At 47.5% G+C, this 15,312-nt stretch overlaps 1 long non-coding RNA gene across 2 annotated transcripts; it reads left to right on the top strand.

The window, feature by feature from the left end:
• The first annotated feature begins 9,834 nt into the window (after positions 1–9,834).
• Positions 9,835–13,307, top strand: LOC105378099 (uncharacterized). 2 transcript variants are annotated; one of them, XR_007059931.1, is made up of 2 exons: positions 9,835–11,561; positions 12,360–13,307. It is a non-coding gene; the product is annotated as an uncharacterized LOC105378099 (long non-coding RNA). The 2 variants fall into 2 exon arrangements; XR_001743897.2 differs by having other exon boundaries at positions 12,024–13,307.
• The last annotated feature ends 2,005 nt before the right edge of the window (positions 13,308–15,312 follow it).

Below are 15,312 nucleotides of genomic sequence, written 5' to 3'. Positions count from 1 at the left end.
CCCTTTGGCTGGGAGGCCCTCTCCAAATCCATTAGGCAGGAGCAGCGGAGCGTGGTGCCCAAGGCGTGGAGGGAAATGCGGGAGTCCCACCTGAGTTGCCACAGGCACAGTGCTTTCCATTTCCCTGTTGACTATTTTTGCTTCTCTCACTTCATTGGGAACTTGGGCTTTTATTTTTGTGCTGCGTGTTTAACTGCACACTTATGCTCATGCACAAAGCCAGGATTGTTTTTTTCTTTAGAGTTCCCAGGAATCAAAGAACATCCATGTCAGTGACCTCTGGTCAGCTAAGGCGGAGCCCTGGGCCCTGAGCCCCTCTGTGCTCATATCGAGGGGGTATGAACAGGAGACTCCAGGCATGTGTACCTAGAGATCAGCTTAGAATGAGAACCCTCATTCTTTTTAATAAAAATATTTCTTAGCATTTATTTATTTTAATTATAATATGGCAGTAAAAATCACTTTACACAAAGACATTACATGTATATTAACAAATCAATCTTCATTTATGTATTTTTTTTTTTTTTTAGACAGTCTTGTTCTGTTACCCAGGCTGGAGTGCAGCAGTGCTATCTCAGCTCACTGCAACCTCTGCCTCCCAAGTTCAAGTGATTCTCCTGCCTTAGCCTCCTGCATAGCTGGGATTATAGGCGCCCGCCACCACCCCCTGCTAATTTTTGGGTTTTGTTTGTTTGTTTGTTGTTTTGAGATGGAATTTCGCTCTTGTTGCCCAGGCTGGAGTACAATGGTGCCTGGGTTCACTGCAACCTCCGCCTCCTGGGTTCAAGTGATTCTCCTGCCTCAGCCTCCCGAGTAGCTGGGATTATAGGCATGCACCACCATGCCTGGCTACTTTTGTATTTTTAGTAGAGACAGGGTTTCACCATGTTGGTCAGGCTGGTCTCAAACTCCTGACCTCAGGTGATCTGCCCGTCTTGGCCTCCCAAAGTGCTGGGATTACAGGCATCAGCCACCACACCTGGCTGTATTTTTTTTTAGTAGAGATGGGGGTTTCACCATGTTGGCCAGGCTGGTCTCAAACTCCTGACCTCAAGAGATCCACCCGCCTTGGCCTCCCAAAGTATTGGGATCATAGGCGTGAGCCACACCGCACCCAGCCCAATCATGTATTTTGCCTTTCCATTTCTCCTGGCAGCTTTGTAGGAATCCGTGACTTCAGTTTTTCTAGCTCAGTTTTGCTTAGCTTGTCATACACATCTGGAAAACTGTATAACTTCCACTCGTTCCAGAGATTTTAACATTGAGTCTGTCCCTTCAGTCCAAGACTGAAAAACTAACTCATGCCCCTGGGATGGGGAGGAGCATGGTGGTTTAGCACGTTGGTATTTTCCTTGTTTGTACCTGTGTCTAACGAGACAAAGAGCAGGGCACTGGTGGGGGCACAGGGGGCAGGGCTGGTTAGCACACATGCTTTGGTGGGGACTCTCGACTAACAGATGCTCAGCCTGATCTCGGGGTGCAGGGAGGATGCAGGGTTGGAGGAAGTTAATGAAGCCAAAAGTAGTTTCTTCAACAATTTCTTATGCATGTGCCTAGCAGGGAACAACTTAAAGGGACTGGAAGGTGAGGAGCAACACTGTGTGGTCGGAGACGGACGCTTCCAGGTTGGCCTCTGTGTGCAGAGGTTCAAGGCAAGGAGGTCCTTGATGAGGCCCCATATTCAAGGGTTGCAGCTTCTAGAAACATCGCCATCACCATCCTGTCCTTCTGCACAACTTTGTTATGTCTAACACTTCCACAGATCCCCTTTCTGAGAGCCACCCTGCTTCCCCACTAATGGGCCCCAGGAGCCATGTTTATACCACACGTCTCTGCCCATTTTGCCTCATCTCGGTCCTCTCCCAGTGGGAATGTCTCCACCGATTTGGAAATGGAATTTCCAGGTGCTGATTCCCTCCTGCTTACTTGAGCTGAGGGGAAATCGGGGTGTGGTGGGGTGGCCATCGTTACCTGTTGGACAGAGGTTAGGGAAGCTGGGCCACAGAGAGGGAACAGCGCTCTGAGGGGAGCCCAGGGACTGGGCCTGGGGGGCTCCTGACTGTTGGCTCTCCAGCCTTGGAAGACCTGGCGGAGCTTCCGGCCCTCAGCTCCTGTTTATCTCAAGAATAAATTCCCCTTTGTTCTTTGCTGAAACTCACATGGGTCATGATAGTTATACCGAAATAATAATAATAATAATAATAATAATAATAATAATAATAATAATAATACTGAAAGCAAAGTTTAGATGGTCATTGTAACTAAAGAATCTGTGGGCATCACTGGGCAACTCCAGAGCATTGCAGAAAGCAGTAAAATGGAGAGGAGTTTTATGTTCATCAGGAGAAGGTGGCCACGTGGCAGGGTTTGTCCTCTTAGCAGCTGTGAGGAAGGAAGGGGATGGGACCATCCTGTGTTGGTGAGTGAGTGCTGCAGTGGAATGGCCAGGGCCGCCCAGAGCACTGCATGGCAGTGTCGGGGCACCGCATAGAAGCAGAGGGTCGACCAGCAGGCAGGCCTGCCTGGAGTCACAAGCCTCCCCCAATCTTGGAGGGTGCGTTATTTCCTTGAGCTGCCGTAACTAGCACTACAAACTTGGTGGTTTAAAGCAACAGAAATTTATTTATTTATTTATTTTGATACAGAATCTCACCTGTCACCCAGACTGGAGTGCAGCGGTATGATCTCGGCTCACTGTAGCCTCAACTTCCCAGGCTGAAGTCATCCTCCCAGCCTCAGCCTCTCAAGTAGCTGGGACCACAGGCACCTGCCACAATGCCCAGCTAATTAAAAAAATATATCTTTTTTGTAGAGATGGGGTTTCACTGTGTCACCCAGGCTGGTCTGGAAATGCTGAGCTCAAGCAGTCCTCACCTCGGCCTCCTAAAATGTTGGGATTACCCGTGTGAGCCACTGTGTTAGGCCTAGACAACAGAAATCTGGTTTCTCACAGTTCTAGAAGGCAGAAGTCTGAAATCAAGGTGTTGGCAGGGCTGAGCTTCCCTCAGAGGCTCTAACAGAGATTCCGTTCCTGCCTCTTCTCACTTCTGGGGCTGCATGCGTTCCCTGCCTTGCGGCCACCCCACTCCAGGCTGCCTCCTTCTTCACATGGGCCTCTCCTCTTCTGTCTCTCCTTTGTGTGCCTCTGATAAGGACACTGGTCATTGGATTTAAAGCCCACCTAGGTAACCCATCATGATTCCAGCACCCTTAATTTCATTACGTCTGCAAAGGCACTTTTTCCAAATAAGGCCACATTCACAGGCTCCTGAGATGAGGAAATGGAATCTTTTGGGAGTCACCATTCAACAGCCCCCACCCTCCACGGTAAAGAGCAGGAAGGGAATACTCATGGTGGATCACCTGAGGTCAGCAGTTCGAGACCAGCCTGGCCAACATGGTGAAACCCTGTTTGTTCTAAAAATACAAAAAGTTAGCCAGGTGCGGTGGAGGCACCTGTATTCCCAGCTACTCCGGAGGCTGAGGCAGGAGAATTGCTTGAACCCGGGAGGTGGAGCTTGCAGTGAGCCAAGATGGCGCCACTGCACTCCAGCCTGGGCGACAAGAGCGAAAATCCATCTCAAAAACAATAACAACAACAACAAAAAAACAAAACTTTCTCTTGCTGCATAAGGGCCAGCTTATTTCTAGGGGAGGATTTTGTGCCAATCATCTGCGCTGCTCCAGGGAAGGAGGTGCTCAGCTTTCTCAGTGGGAGGTTGGGCCAAATGAATACGTCATTCTAAGGGCCACGTAGATCAGTCATACCGAAGACCTCCCGGTCTCATCCTAACACCCATGCAGGTGGCCCAATGTTTCCTTTCAGGACATGTGGGATGGGCAAGGAGGAGGAGGAGGCTGACCACCACGAGGGCGGGCAGGCCTGATGTGCCGCAAGGCTAGTGTGGGACTTGTGGCCATGTGGGTACTACCAGTGACAGAGACGCATGGTGGCTTCCAGGCTGGAGATGAGGGATTTGGCAGGTGACAGGGTCCAACAGTAAATTCATAGATTATCATAAGGAGAGAGAATCGGAAGGTATACTAACTTTTTCCTATTAGTTAAGCTTCCCTCCCCCTTTTTTCCCCTGAGCAACCTTAAGTGATAAAAGGATATATGAAACTAATGGGGTAGCTCAGAGAATTCACAGCAGAACTGAACAATCCACTTCAGGAACCAACACAGAAGCCAGACCTGGATATGAGGTAGGCTAGATTCTTCTGCTTTCTGTGATGCTGCCGTTACCATGCTGCCACGCCAAGGATGTCCAGGCTCTCTCCCCATTCAAGTGGCAGATTCCTAAGAGAGAGAGTGTGATTGGCTCAGGACCGATCAGCCTGGCATAGACATGGATACTTTGGACATATTTGGAAGCTGGAGATGTCACCCCAACTGGGGTCTAGGACAGCGTTCTCAAGAGTTAGGTGGGCAGGAGGTGGCCCAAGGGCACAGGGCTTCAGCGAAGGCCTGGGATTGGGAACTGGGCTTCAGGCTGCAGGAAGGCTGGGAGGGGCGACACGGGCCAGAGAAGGAGCAGGTCTGGAGGTGAGTAGCACAGAGCCTCGGCTCTCAAACCTCTCTGTCGAGAGACCTCTTTACACCCTTAAAAATTATTGAGGACCCAAAGGTGGTAGCCTATATCTATCAATATTCACCTCATTCGAAATGAAGACAGAGACATTTTAAAGATACAAGAACACACAAGCACACATTCTCTTATTTGTTGGAGTGACGATGTGACCATTCTTCCAGCAGCTGGGGAGACGCCAGGCTACCCCCGAGTGTATTGAATGAAGATGGCAAGTGACATTTTAGTGTGACTTAGCAGGAGTTTTGACCTTGAAGACCCTCTGAAAGGGCCATGCCTAGGCTCCCCAGACCACATCTGGGGAGCCGTTGCCATGGTGGCCCGGAACCTGCGCTTGAGAGCAAGACTGCCTAAGTTTAAAACTTGCTCTACTGTGGCTGCTCCTGCAGGCCTCTTATTTGGTGCCTCCACATCTTCAGCTGAAAATGAGGTAATAATGGTGTGGTCCTCACTGAGCCACTGGGAGGATGAAAGAGACAATCCCTCTTTCTCCTCCTCCTTGTTCCTAGAACAGGGCGTCGCAGGTAGTATGTAGTCAAAACACTTCCAGTATGATGTACACAGCACGCTGCCCGGAGAAGCCCGCAGGCATCAGATCCCAGGTGTGGCAGCTGGACGGGACCTGCCTGGGACTGTCCCCAGGACCCAGAGGTCCCCACTAAGGCTCTGGTTCCATGAGGGGCACTAAAGCTGAGTTGCCCCCACTGGGAGGGGCCTGAGCTGGCAGGCTGTGCTGTGGAGGGGGTCTGTGGGCTTTGTTCTCAGGAGCGGCTGAGGCAACAGTCTGTGGAATGAGATGCAGTCTGGTAGCTCAGCAAAGATGATGATCAGAAAAATATCTTTTTAATGGGAAAAATAACTGGTATTGCTGAGATACATCTTTCTCTGCATCAATCAATAAAAATGTGAAATTAAGCCAATTTATGAATATTTCATATATAACAAATCCAAGTTGTTAATGCTCAAAAATGATCAAAAGTGGCCAGGCGTGGTGGCTCATGCCTGTAATCCCAGCACTTTGAGATGCTGAGGCAGGTGGATCACCTGAGGTCAGGAGTTCAAGACCAGCCTAGTCAACATGGTGAAACCCTGTCTCTACTAAAAATACAAAAATTAGCTAGGCGTGGTGGTGCACACCTGTAGTCCCAGCTACTCGGGAGGTTGAGGCAGGAGAATCGCTTAAACCCAGGAGGCAGAGGTTGCAGTGAGTTGAGATTGTGCCACTGCACTCCAGCCTGGGTGACAGAGTGAAACTCCGTCTCAAAAAAAAAAAAAAGAAAAAAGAAAAAAGAAAAAAAGATCAAAAGTCCATCATTATGCGTTTGACCTGAATCTCTCTCTCTGGCATCAGTTCAGTTGGAGCCCCCAGAACCCGGAGGCAGCTCTGCAACTGGCAGTGCACACATCCCCCTGGGTGCCAGCTCCAGGGCCAGCTCACGGGGACGTGTGGATCCAGCTTCCTTCCACTAAGAGCCAGTCGGGCTCATCCATCCAGGGCTGTTCCGAGGTTGGGGTGTGTAGGACAAACTTGCCAGCAGATCCAATTAAAGGAGCAATGCTAGATGCGCTGATGCACACACAGGGGACATGAAACCATGCACTCGGCCTGTGTGTGCTGCCCTTGAAAACCGCCCTGATGTGATCAGGCGTTGCTTACTTGAAGAATAACCACAGCAACACATGGATGAAAAGAGAAGAACGCTTTTTACAAAACTCTCCTGGGGACAGAATGGTTGTGAGTGCAAGGGACAACTCCGATGCAAAGTGGTTGTCTTCTCAAGCCACCTGGGGCCTCATTGTCCTCCTCCTTGTTCCTCCCGGGACTCCACCCACTCCCACACAAGGCGCTCTGGGTTTCTTTCTTTAATGCCGTAATTTTCTTTTCTTTTCTTTTTTGAGACAAAGTCTCACTCTGTCACCAGTTTGGAGTGCTGTGGCACAATCTGGGCTCACTGCAACCTCCACCTTCCGGGTTCAAGCGATTCTGCTACCTCAGCCTCCCGCAATGCCGTAATTTTCAATGTAGGGCCATCCTTCCTCTTCATCACCCCAGTGCTATGGGCACATATTTACTGAGCAGTGGCAGCTCTTTCACCTAGAGATGCACAGGGAGCAGCCCTGAGTCTAATTTTCCTGCTGCGTCAGCCTTGCCTTTGCTAACCAGAGTGACATTCTGGGTGGACCTTTGGGGCCCGCCCCCCAGTTTTTACCATAGAGCCAGTTCTCAGCCACTGGCTCGCCTCTTACAGTCTTAGAAATTTAGAGCTGAAGGAGCTGTGCAGGTCACCGCTTTCAACTCCTAGTTATAGAGTTGAGGAACTAGGCTGGAAAGAGTGAAGGACTTTGTGACTATTACGTGGACAGCAAGGAAGACGTTTCTGAACCTGTGACACCTGCTGGGAAGGAGGAACACAGGCACACGGCTCCATGACTATTCTCTCTTCCAGTGCCTTCTGCTCAACCCTGGAGCCCTGTGGACGGGGAAAAACGATCTGCTTCTCATAAAGTAAAATGCTTTAGAAGCTCAGAGAAAGAGTCTTACCTAAATAAATAGATGAATAAAGATATTTGTAGAGATACTAATGGTATTTGTACTTTTGTAAAGCAAACTGCCTTTTCTTTTCTGTTCTAGGTTCATTCTTGTTAATCCATATTAAAGAGTTTTCTGAGGGCTAAAACGTTGCCTGATAAGGGATTTGGGAGGTTTGTATCATAAGGGATTCTTGAAGGCCAAAACAGCTCTCAAGACTCAAAGGAATGAACTTGAGGAAGTGGAAATCAAACTCACTGCTGTTCAATTCCACCAGGCCCCCTTCCAGCCCAGAACTGTGCTGTTGGTGTGCAGGGGCCAGCCAGGACTCGGTTGACTCCCCAGCTGACATCATCATGTGACCACCTACCAGAAAGACTTAGAGCCAGGAGCCTCGGGGCTCTTCGCACCCAGGTCTTTAGAGCTCCTGGCATCTCAGCAGTGTTCTTTCTAGTAACGCACCCACTCCTCTGGTCCCACTGCTGCTGGGAACAGCTCAAAGGTAGAGCTGTGACCGTGGATCTCAAAGGCACCCAACCACGAGTCAGTCCTTTGGGGACGTGGGTTTTGTCAGCTCTCCTGAGCTGGCCCACTCTGGTGCCACCTGTGGGAAGAAGGACAGGAACCCACACATCTGCTCAGGCCAGCCCCTTGCTCCAAACCCTTCAGGGCTTTTCTGTGCCTGTTCACGTATCTCATCCTGGGTTCCATGTGAACACTTGTCTTCCTGAAGGATTGATTTTATTTAAAGTTCTAGTGGAAAAAGACTACACCATTATTTTTCATTTTAATTATGGAAAAAAGCAAAATTTCCTTGAATTCCAGGATAATACAGGAACTTTGGCTCTTCATGTTATTGCTACCTGTTAAGGGGGACCGAGTTTAGTTTCCTGTAACAATGGGGCCCCTTTAGGGGAAGTGTAAGGAGAAACAGGACAAAACCTTCACTCCTGATGGCCTCCAGGCCCTCCAAGGTTTGACCTTGCCACATGCACAGCCTCCTCTCCCTGCACTGGAAGACCTCGGGGCCACGCTGAGTCCCGGAGACGCCCTGTGTGCCCTCGGACCTGCCGCTCCTGCACGCCTGGCTCCTGTAAGTCAGGGTGTCTCCGCTTGGGCACTGTTGACCTTGGGGCTGGATGACTCTTCTCACACAGGGGCTGTCCTGTGCATTGTAGCTATGTCCCTGGCTGGCCTTGACTCACTAGAGGCCAGTAGCACTCCCAAGTCAGGACAATCAAAAATGTCTGTAGACAATGCCAAATGTCCCCTGTGGTCAAACCACCCCTGTCTCTAGCCCTGCTCAGATGGGGACAGGCTTCTTGAGGCTCTCTGTCTAGTGATCTGACTCCTCTCTCATGCCTCAGCGCAAACATTACCTCCCCTGTGAGGTTTTCTGTGACTGCCCCAGGCAGATTGGTTGTCCTCACACTGCCAGCTATGGAACTTGATTGGTTTGCACCCATTTGGTGCTTATTCATGGTAATGTAATTTGTTTGTCCATCCCCATTAGTCTATGAATGCCTAGAGGTCAAGGAGTATGCCTGCAATTGTACCTGCTTTCATCCTCAGCACTCAGCACACTGTCTGATCCACTGAAGGAGCTGAGGAAATGCAGAACGAATGGGTGAATGGGTGATCGGCCATTGGAGGCTGGGATTCTCCTGGCGAGGACTCCTCAAAGAAGCATCACAATTGTCCCGTCCTCTCAGATCACCCAAGAGCTCAGCCACTGTCATAATCTCAGCATCACTACACCACGTGATACTCGTTTGAAACTTAACTTTGCTGGCCAGGCGTGGTGGCTCACGCCTGTAATCCCAGCACTTTGGGAGGCTGAGGCGAGTGGATCACCTGAGGTCAGGAGTTCGAGACCAGCCTGGCCAACATGGTGAAACCCCGTCTCTACTAAAAATACAAAAATTAGCAGGGCGTGGTGGCTCACACTTGTAATTCCAGCTACTCGGGAGGCTGAGGCAGGAGAATCGCTTGAACCTAGGAGGCGAAGGTTGCAGTGAGCCAAGATCATGCCACTGCACTCCAGCCTAGGCGACAAGAGTGAAACTCTGCTTGAAAAAAAAAAAGAAAAAGAAAGAAAGAAAGAAAAAAGAAACCTAATTTTGCCAAGGAATTGCCAGGGAAATAACCCAGATTTTTATTAGTGGTGGTACACATGGTAGTAGTGTTAGAGTAATGACAGCTGCGGGGGCCATATGAGCATCGTCGCCATATCCTGCCAGGTGTTTTCACTCTAACTGATAACCCTCACCACTTTTCTGTGAGCTACAGCTTATTACTTCCATTTTACAGGTCAGGAAACTGAGGCTCTGAGAATCTCATTTACAAGCTCAGCATCTTTGTAGCCTTAGGATCAGAATGTAAGGCAATCTTCTCCAAACACAAGTTGTTGCCCTGCCTTCGGTTTCTATGTTTTTATTCTATTTATTTATTTTTGAGACGGAGTCCCACTCTTTCTTCAGGCTGGAGTGCAGTGGCGTTATCTCAGCTCACTGCAACCTCTGACTCCCTGGTTCAAGTGATTCTCCTGTCTCTGCCTCCTGAGTAGCTGGGATTACAGGCACGAGCCACCACACCCAGCTAATTTTTGTATTTTTAGTAGAGATGGGATTTCGCCATGTTAGCCAGGATGGTCTCGATCTCCTGAACTTGTGATCCACCTGCCTTGGCCTCCCGAAGTGCTGGGATTATGGGCATGAGCCACCGCGCCCAGCCTAAATTTTTATTCTTAAGGGTGATTCTCAACAAGCAGGCATTGAAAATCTGAATGTCCAAAGTGTGCCAGATGAATGGGTTACTGATGCCTTGCTGCAATTTGTGTCACTTCTTATCACTGCAAGGAACATCAAATTCTATCAAAATATGGGAAAAAATCATTTTGGTGTTGCATTTGCATATCCAAGGATTGCAGGATGGTTTGTATAATCAAATTATGTAGAGTTGTAAAAAGGGAGCATCATTTAAATAGCTTACAAGATTACTTTGAAGACGCACATTAAAATCTAAAGAACCCATAGCCTCCAAGATCTTTACAAAAAGTTAAATGCTAATTGATTATGACAGCTTTGTCTTTATCACTGGCACCATTCTCTATTTCCACTCTGTCAATATCACAGCTCAAATATCACTCTGTCCTCTGTTCCTCTTCTAACCACATTCATTCCATGCTGTAATAACAGATGGAAGTTTATGCACGACTAGCTTTCCCCCCCCTCCCCATTGTTGATCAAAAGGAGCAGCCTGAAAATAAGAAAAAAACAGAATTTGCTGAAATTCTGATTTCTTTCAGCAGTTTTATAGATTTTATAACTTATCTTTTATTGACTATGCAAGGTCTCTGCTCCCCAGCATCTGTTTGTTGCATCTGGGGAGAAAGATAAATTCTCTTTTTTTATGCCACTGAACCAAATTTAAGAGACAGACAAACAAACAGGTCTCAGTAGAAGAGGACAGAATCGCATCCACAGCCCAGCTGTCCTCTTTCCCAGGCCCTGTGTGGGCAGGACAGGAGGAGGAGGAGGAAGAGGAGGAGGAGGAAGTGCCTTGTAGTCCATTGAATTTGCCAGCCCATCAGGGATGAGGGTGCCAGAGACTGGCTGATCGGGCTTAGGGAGGTGCTCCCCCCAGAGTGGGGACCTGGGGGCTCGTGGCCATGAGCACAAGCTTTGAAGAGGCTGCTTTGTAAACTTTGTAAAAAATTCACATCATTTACATTTCTCAGACTTAAAGAATTGTGCCTGGTCACCCAGAGACATGATTATACATCACCAAACTTCATTATAATAATGGCCCTGGTACTCCAACTTCTTGAAAGCCTCAGCTGTTCGATTCAGCCTCTTCAGCTCCATAACTGTTTATAAGATTAATAGACTCTGATGCATAATTGACTCTCCCACCAGGAGGAAAAAAAAGAGAGACAGTCTAATCGTAGCCCTGAAAAAATAACATTCCCATAAAGAGATGGTGTCTGTCCACATTGACAGGGTCAGGGATAGAGGAGTGTGGCTAGCACCACCAAGTCAGGAGAGAAGGGGAGACGGATGAGGAGTCAGCCCCAGGGAAGGGAGTCTCAGAACGTCGATGGGACATGTCTCATCATTTAGAGGCTTCAGTGGACACCCTGAAAAATTGGCTTTATTGCAGAACTGGATGGGATTCAATTCTACAGCAGGGAGCAAGGGAGCTAGGAATAGGAAAGAAAGAGGAAAGGAAGGTCCCCGCCACACAGGAAGTGGAAGGAAGAGGAAAGAAAGAGGATAGGAAGGTCCCCGCCACACAGGAAGTGGAAGGAAGAGGAAAGAAAAAGGACAGGAAGGTCCCCGCCATACAGGAAGTGGAAGAGGAAAGAAAGAGGATAGGAAGGTTCCCCACCACACAGCAAGTGGAAGGAAATAGAAAGGGAATCCACAGAGCAGCAGGATGGGGTGAGGGCTTGACATCTGGTGACAGGGAGCTTAGAGAGAGAACGAGTGCCCTGGCCCCCCTTTCCCTTGCTGAGGTTATGGGTCACAGGGTGTCACACCAGGTCCTGTAGGAGACCAGACACATGCTAGGAACGATGGCAGGGCAGACCTTTCTCAAGGCAGAGGAGCAAGGGCATCACCTCGCAGGCTGGAGGCAATGGAGGCCTTGAGAGAGTGCGTGGCGGGGATGCCACTGCCACACAGGGGTAGGGCAGTAGCCAGGGTTCAGAGGCTGGGTGGGCTCCGGAAGTCTTGGAGAGGGGACAGAGCTGGACCGAGGCACTCGGTGGGCCTGATGACTCGAATAAAGGAGTGAGTCTAACCAAAAGGTGGAAACGAGAAGTCGAGTGTTCGATGCTAGCTTGTCTTTCTCTTGATCTCCTATACCTGCCCCTCTTCTCAGGGCTTATTTTACTCTTCCAGAAAAAGACCAGGCATCTTGCAATCTTCCTGGAAAACAAACAAACAAAGAAAACAGAAAAAGCAGAGCAAGATGAGAGAAGATTGACATGGAGACAGGGTCTTATTTTCTACTCTGTATAGTGAGAGATCCTCACCTAAAAGACCTCACCCTGTTGTTAGAGGGAAGAGAAATGTGGGTTAATCTTTCATTGTCATCAGATTTGTGCTTCTTCCTCTTTACTTAAGTAACTGCTTTAGCTGGACCTCCGCAGCATCTGCTGCTGCTTCTCCAGCTCCTGGAAAACCCCAAGGGGGTTGCAAAGATAAGTCTTAACTCTGCCTCTGTTTTCCTTTCAGCTGACCACCAAATGACCCCAGAGTGAAGAAGGCACATCAGGCTCCTATTAATGTGGCCACAGATTCACACATTTGCTTGATGAAAGCCTAGTGCAAAGGAATAGAGTCTTATTGTGGACTTGGAAACCTCCTAGTTATTTAGATGTGAACTCACGCTTTTGCTCATCTCTGGGAAACACAGCACATTTTTTTAAAGTACATCTTGCATCATGGATTGAAAGGCTAAGACCTTACCATTAGATCTAGCATGAAGCCCTCACCCATGCCGTGTAACTCTACATTTACTCCTTCCTTCCATCTTCAGGGGAAAAGAAGCAGGGGCTGATAAAACAAGCAGAGAAGGCCCAGGGTCGGTTTATTGACTTCTAAGGACTATTGGTCTTTTGCAGTGAAGGAAAAAAAAAAAATGCCTTAGGACCTGCTAGGTGCTAATTTGACCTGGCAATGAGGTAAAGTTAGGCTTTGGCTGTCTTCAACCTCCTAGGATCGGAATGCCATCTACTTAGCATAGGAGTCAGACAATTCCCTGGCAATAGATCGCTTTCCACTTGTGCAGCTACTGAATAAATAGCAAAGTAATTAACAGTGTGCTATGGCTAGATGTATCAGGTGGAATTTCATTACAGCAGAAAGAACTGAGAGAATGAAGGAGTCATTTTGTGTCCACCGTCAGGTGAATCGTTTGTGCTTTCTTTCACTAGGATGGACAGGTTATCTCTGCTTTTCTTCAAGAAGAGAAATTTCTGAATTCCCTATCATATCTTCACTTTGATCAAGGGGAAAGGAAGAAAAGAAAACTCTTAAGTGCCTAAAATTGGTCCAAAAATAAAGAATTCTTCTCATTTTTCCATTTAATGATTTTGTTCCTGAAACCTATGGGTGATTCTCTTTTGTTGTATTTTTTGTTTCTTTATTTTTTCTCAACTATTAAATATCTGAATTTTGAAATGTGTTCTGAAGGCCTCATTATTATGATTTCCCCTCCCTTTGAAAAATAAATGGCATTATGTCATCTATAACAACAGGAAGAGATGGAGTTTCACAGGAAGGAAATTTATGCTCAGTTGGAAAAAGAAAAGACGTCTAAGCCATTTATTTTTAGCCACCTTTAAAAATATATATTTGAAAGTACTAAACTCAATTTTACATGTCCAGAATGGTATAACCTAATTTTAGTATATTAATTTAAAAAAAGTAGTGTTTTGCCTCATACAAAGGAATAAAATAATTAGCTTACTGAGGAAATGGGGTCATATGATTTTACTTTGAGAGGGTAATGAATGACATTGAGTAACTGTAACAGTAGGGTTTTGCAGAGCAGCTCTGGCGGTGGAGCCTGTTTGGAATTCTCTGTTGAACACCTGACTAAGAACCAGCTTTCTCCCCTGCAAGCCTCACCTGTCTTGACTCAGACTAAGTGCACACACATCGGCAAGACTGGCCAGTGCTCCTTAGGAAGAACACTGGGGGTGGGGGAGACATGCGTTTGGGGACTTTCCAGGCTTAGTTGAATGTCCACAAGCTCCGCGAATCAACAAGTCCTTGGGTTGGCTTGAGCATCAAGGTGCTTTCTACTTGAGGAAGAAATTTCAGCATTTTACATTTTACATATTTGGACCTTTGAACTTGAAATATTTTGTTACACTTCACATAGCTTCATTCCCTGGGGGGGAGAAACCCAGTCTTTCAAGTGGTTATTATAAAGCTAAGCACATAAATATGCATGAGAGGTCATTATTACCACAAGATGATACTTAAAATGTTCAAGTGTCTCTTACTAAGATTTTTCGACTTGTTCAGTGACTGCAAATCAAAGTCTCCAGCTTTTAGTTGCTGAACTTTGCCTTTGATTGTTCTTTCAAAGTTTTCAAGGAAAGGGAATGGTTTTTGGAGCCTTGACTGGCATTCATTCATTCTTTCATTCATTCTACAGATATGTAATGAGGTGTTTAATTACCCATGTCCACGTCTAATGCAGAATGCCATATTTAAAGCATTGTAGCCGGAGCTCTGGAGGTTGGGTCACGGAATTTCCAGATTTTAGATCTGGAACTGAGGCACAGAGAGGCTAAGTGGCTTTTCCCATGTCATATTGTGACATATAGTCGAGGCTGGGAGTCAGATCTGGCACCCCGGGCCAGGTTAGGGCTGGTGAGTCAAGGCCTCTGAAAGGCTCGAGGGCCCAAAGTATAGGGTCCCCATGGGAACCATGATACTGAAGAGTTGCATTTTGACCCATTTTTAACTTCTAGAACTTGATATTACCATGTGGAAATATTATATAGTGTTATCAGAACCTTCAAGGCTCTTAAACATGAGATTCACATTCAGAATTGACTCCAGTTCAACCCTATGCTTGCAGCAAGTTCCCTCTGGGAGAAGATAAAGTTTTCATCTCTAGAACTAATAACCCAGGCTGCCCTGTTCTCCGTGGGAAAGGAGAAATGGCAGTGGAAACCAAAATGGAGCCAGAGAGAGGAAAACAGTTCTACCAGAAGCCTCAGATTTTCCCTCTCTGGGAGCAGGGGCACCAGGCAATAGCCCTTGGGTTCTGACAACTCTTTTTGTCCCAAATTAACAAAGAGTAAAGAAAGCATTCAAAACATTTTTGCTTCTGGGATCCCAATCTCTGATTTACAGGCAGAATCTTTGGAAAGTGGAATAGGTGGAACCCCCCAGGGTGTGCTGTCTTCCCTGTTCAAACCCAGTGTGACCAATGCACCCGCAGTGTTTCCCACCAGGCTTCCCCCGTGTCCTCGGGCGGATCTTGCTTGAGAACACTGCAGTAAAAGAAAGCCCTGTGAAAGGCAGTGCCAAGCTCTCCTCAAGTCCAGGGCTAGTGCTCTGTCTTACTGCAGGATGACTAGAGTGAGCAATAATATATTATGTACTTGCAAGCAGCTGGAAGAAGAATATTGACCGCTCTCAACCCAAAGAAATGATAAATGTTTGA

Source organism: Homo sapiens, chromosome 6 (assembly GCF_000001405.40).
Source record: "Homo sapiens chromosome 6, GRCh38.p14 Primary Assembly".
NCBI classification, from domain to species: domain Eukaryota; kingdom Metazoa; phylum Chordata; class Mammalia; order Primates; family Hominidae; genus Homo; species Homo sapiens.
The sequence above is the reverse complement of the archived record's forward strand: the minus strand, read 5'-3'. Positions and strand labels throughout refer to the sequence as shown.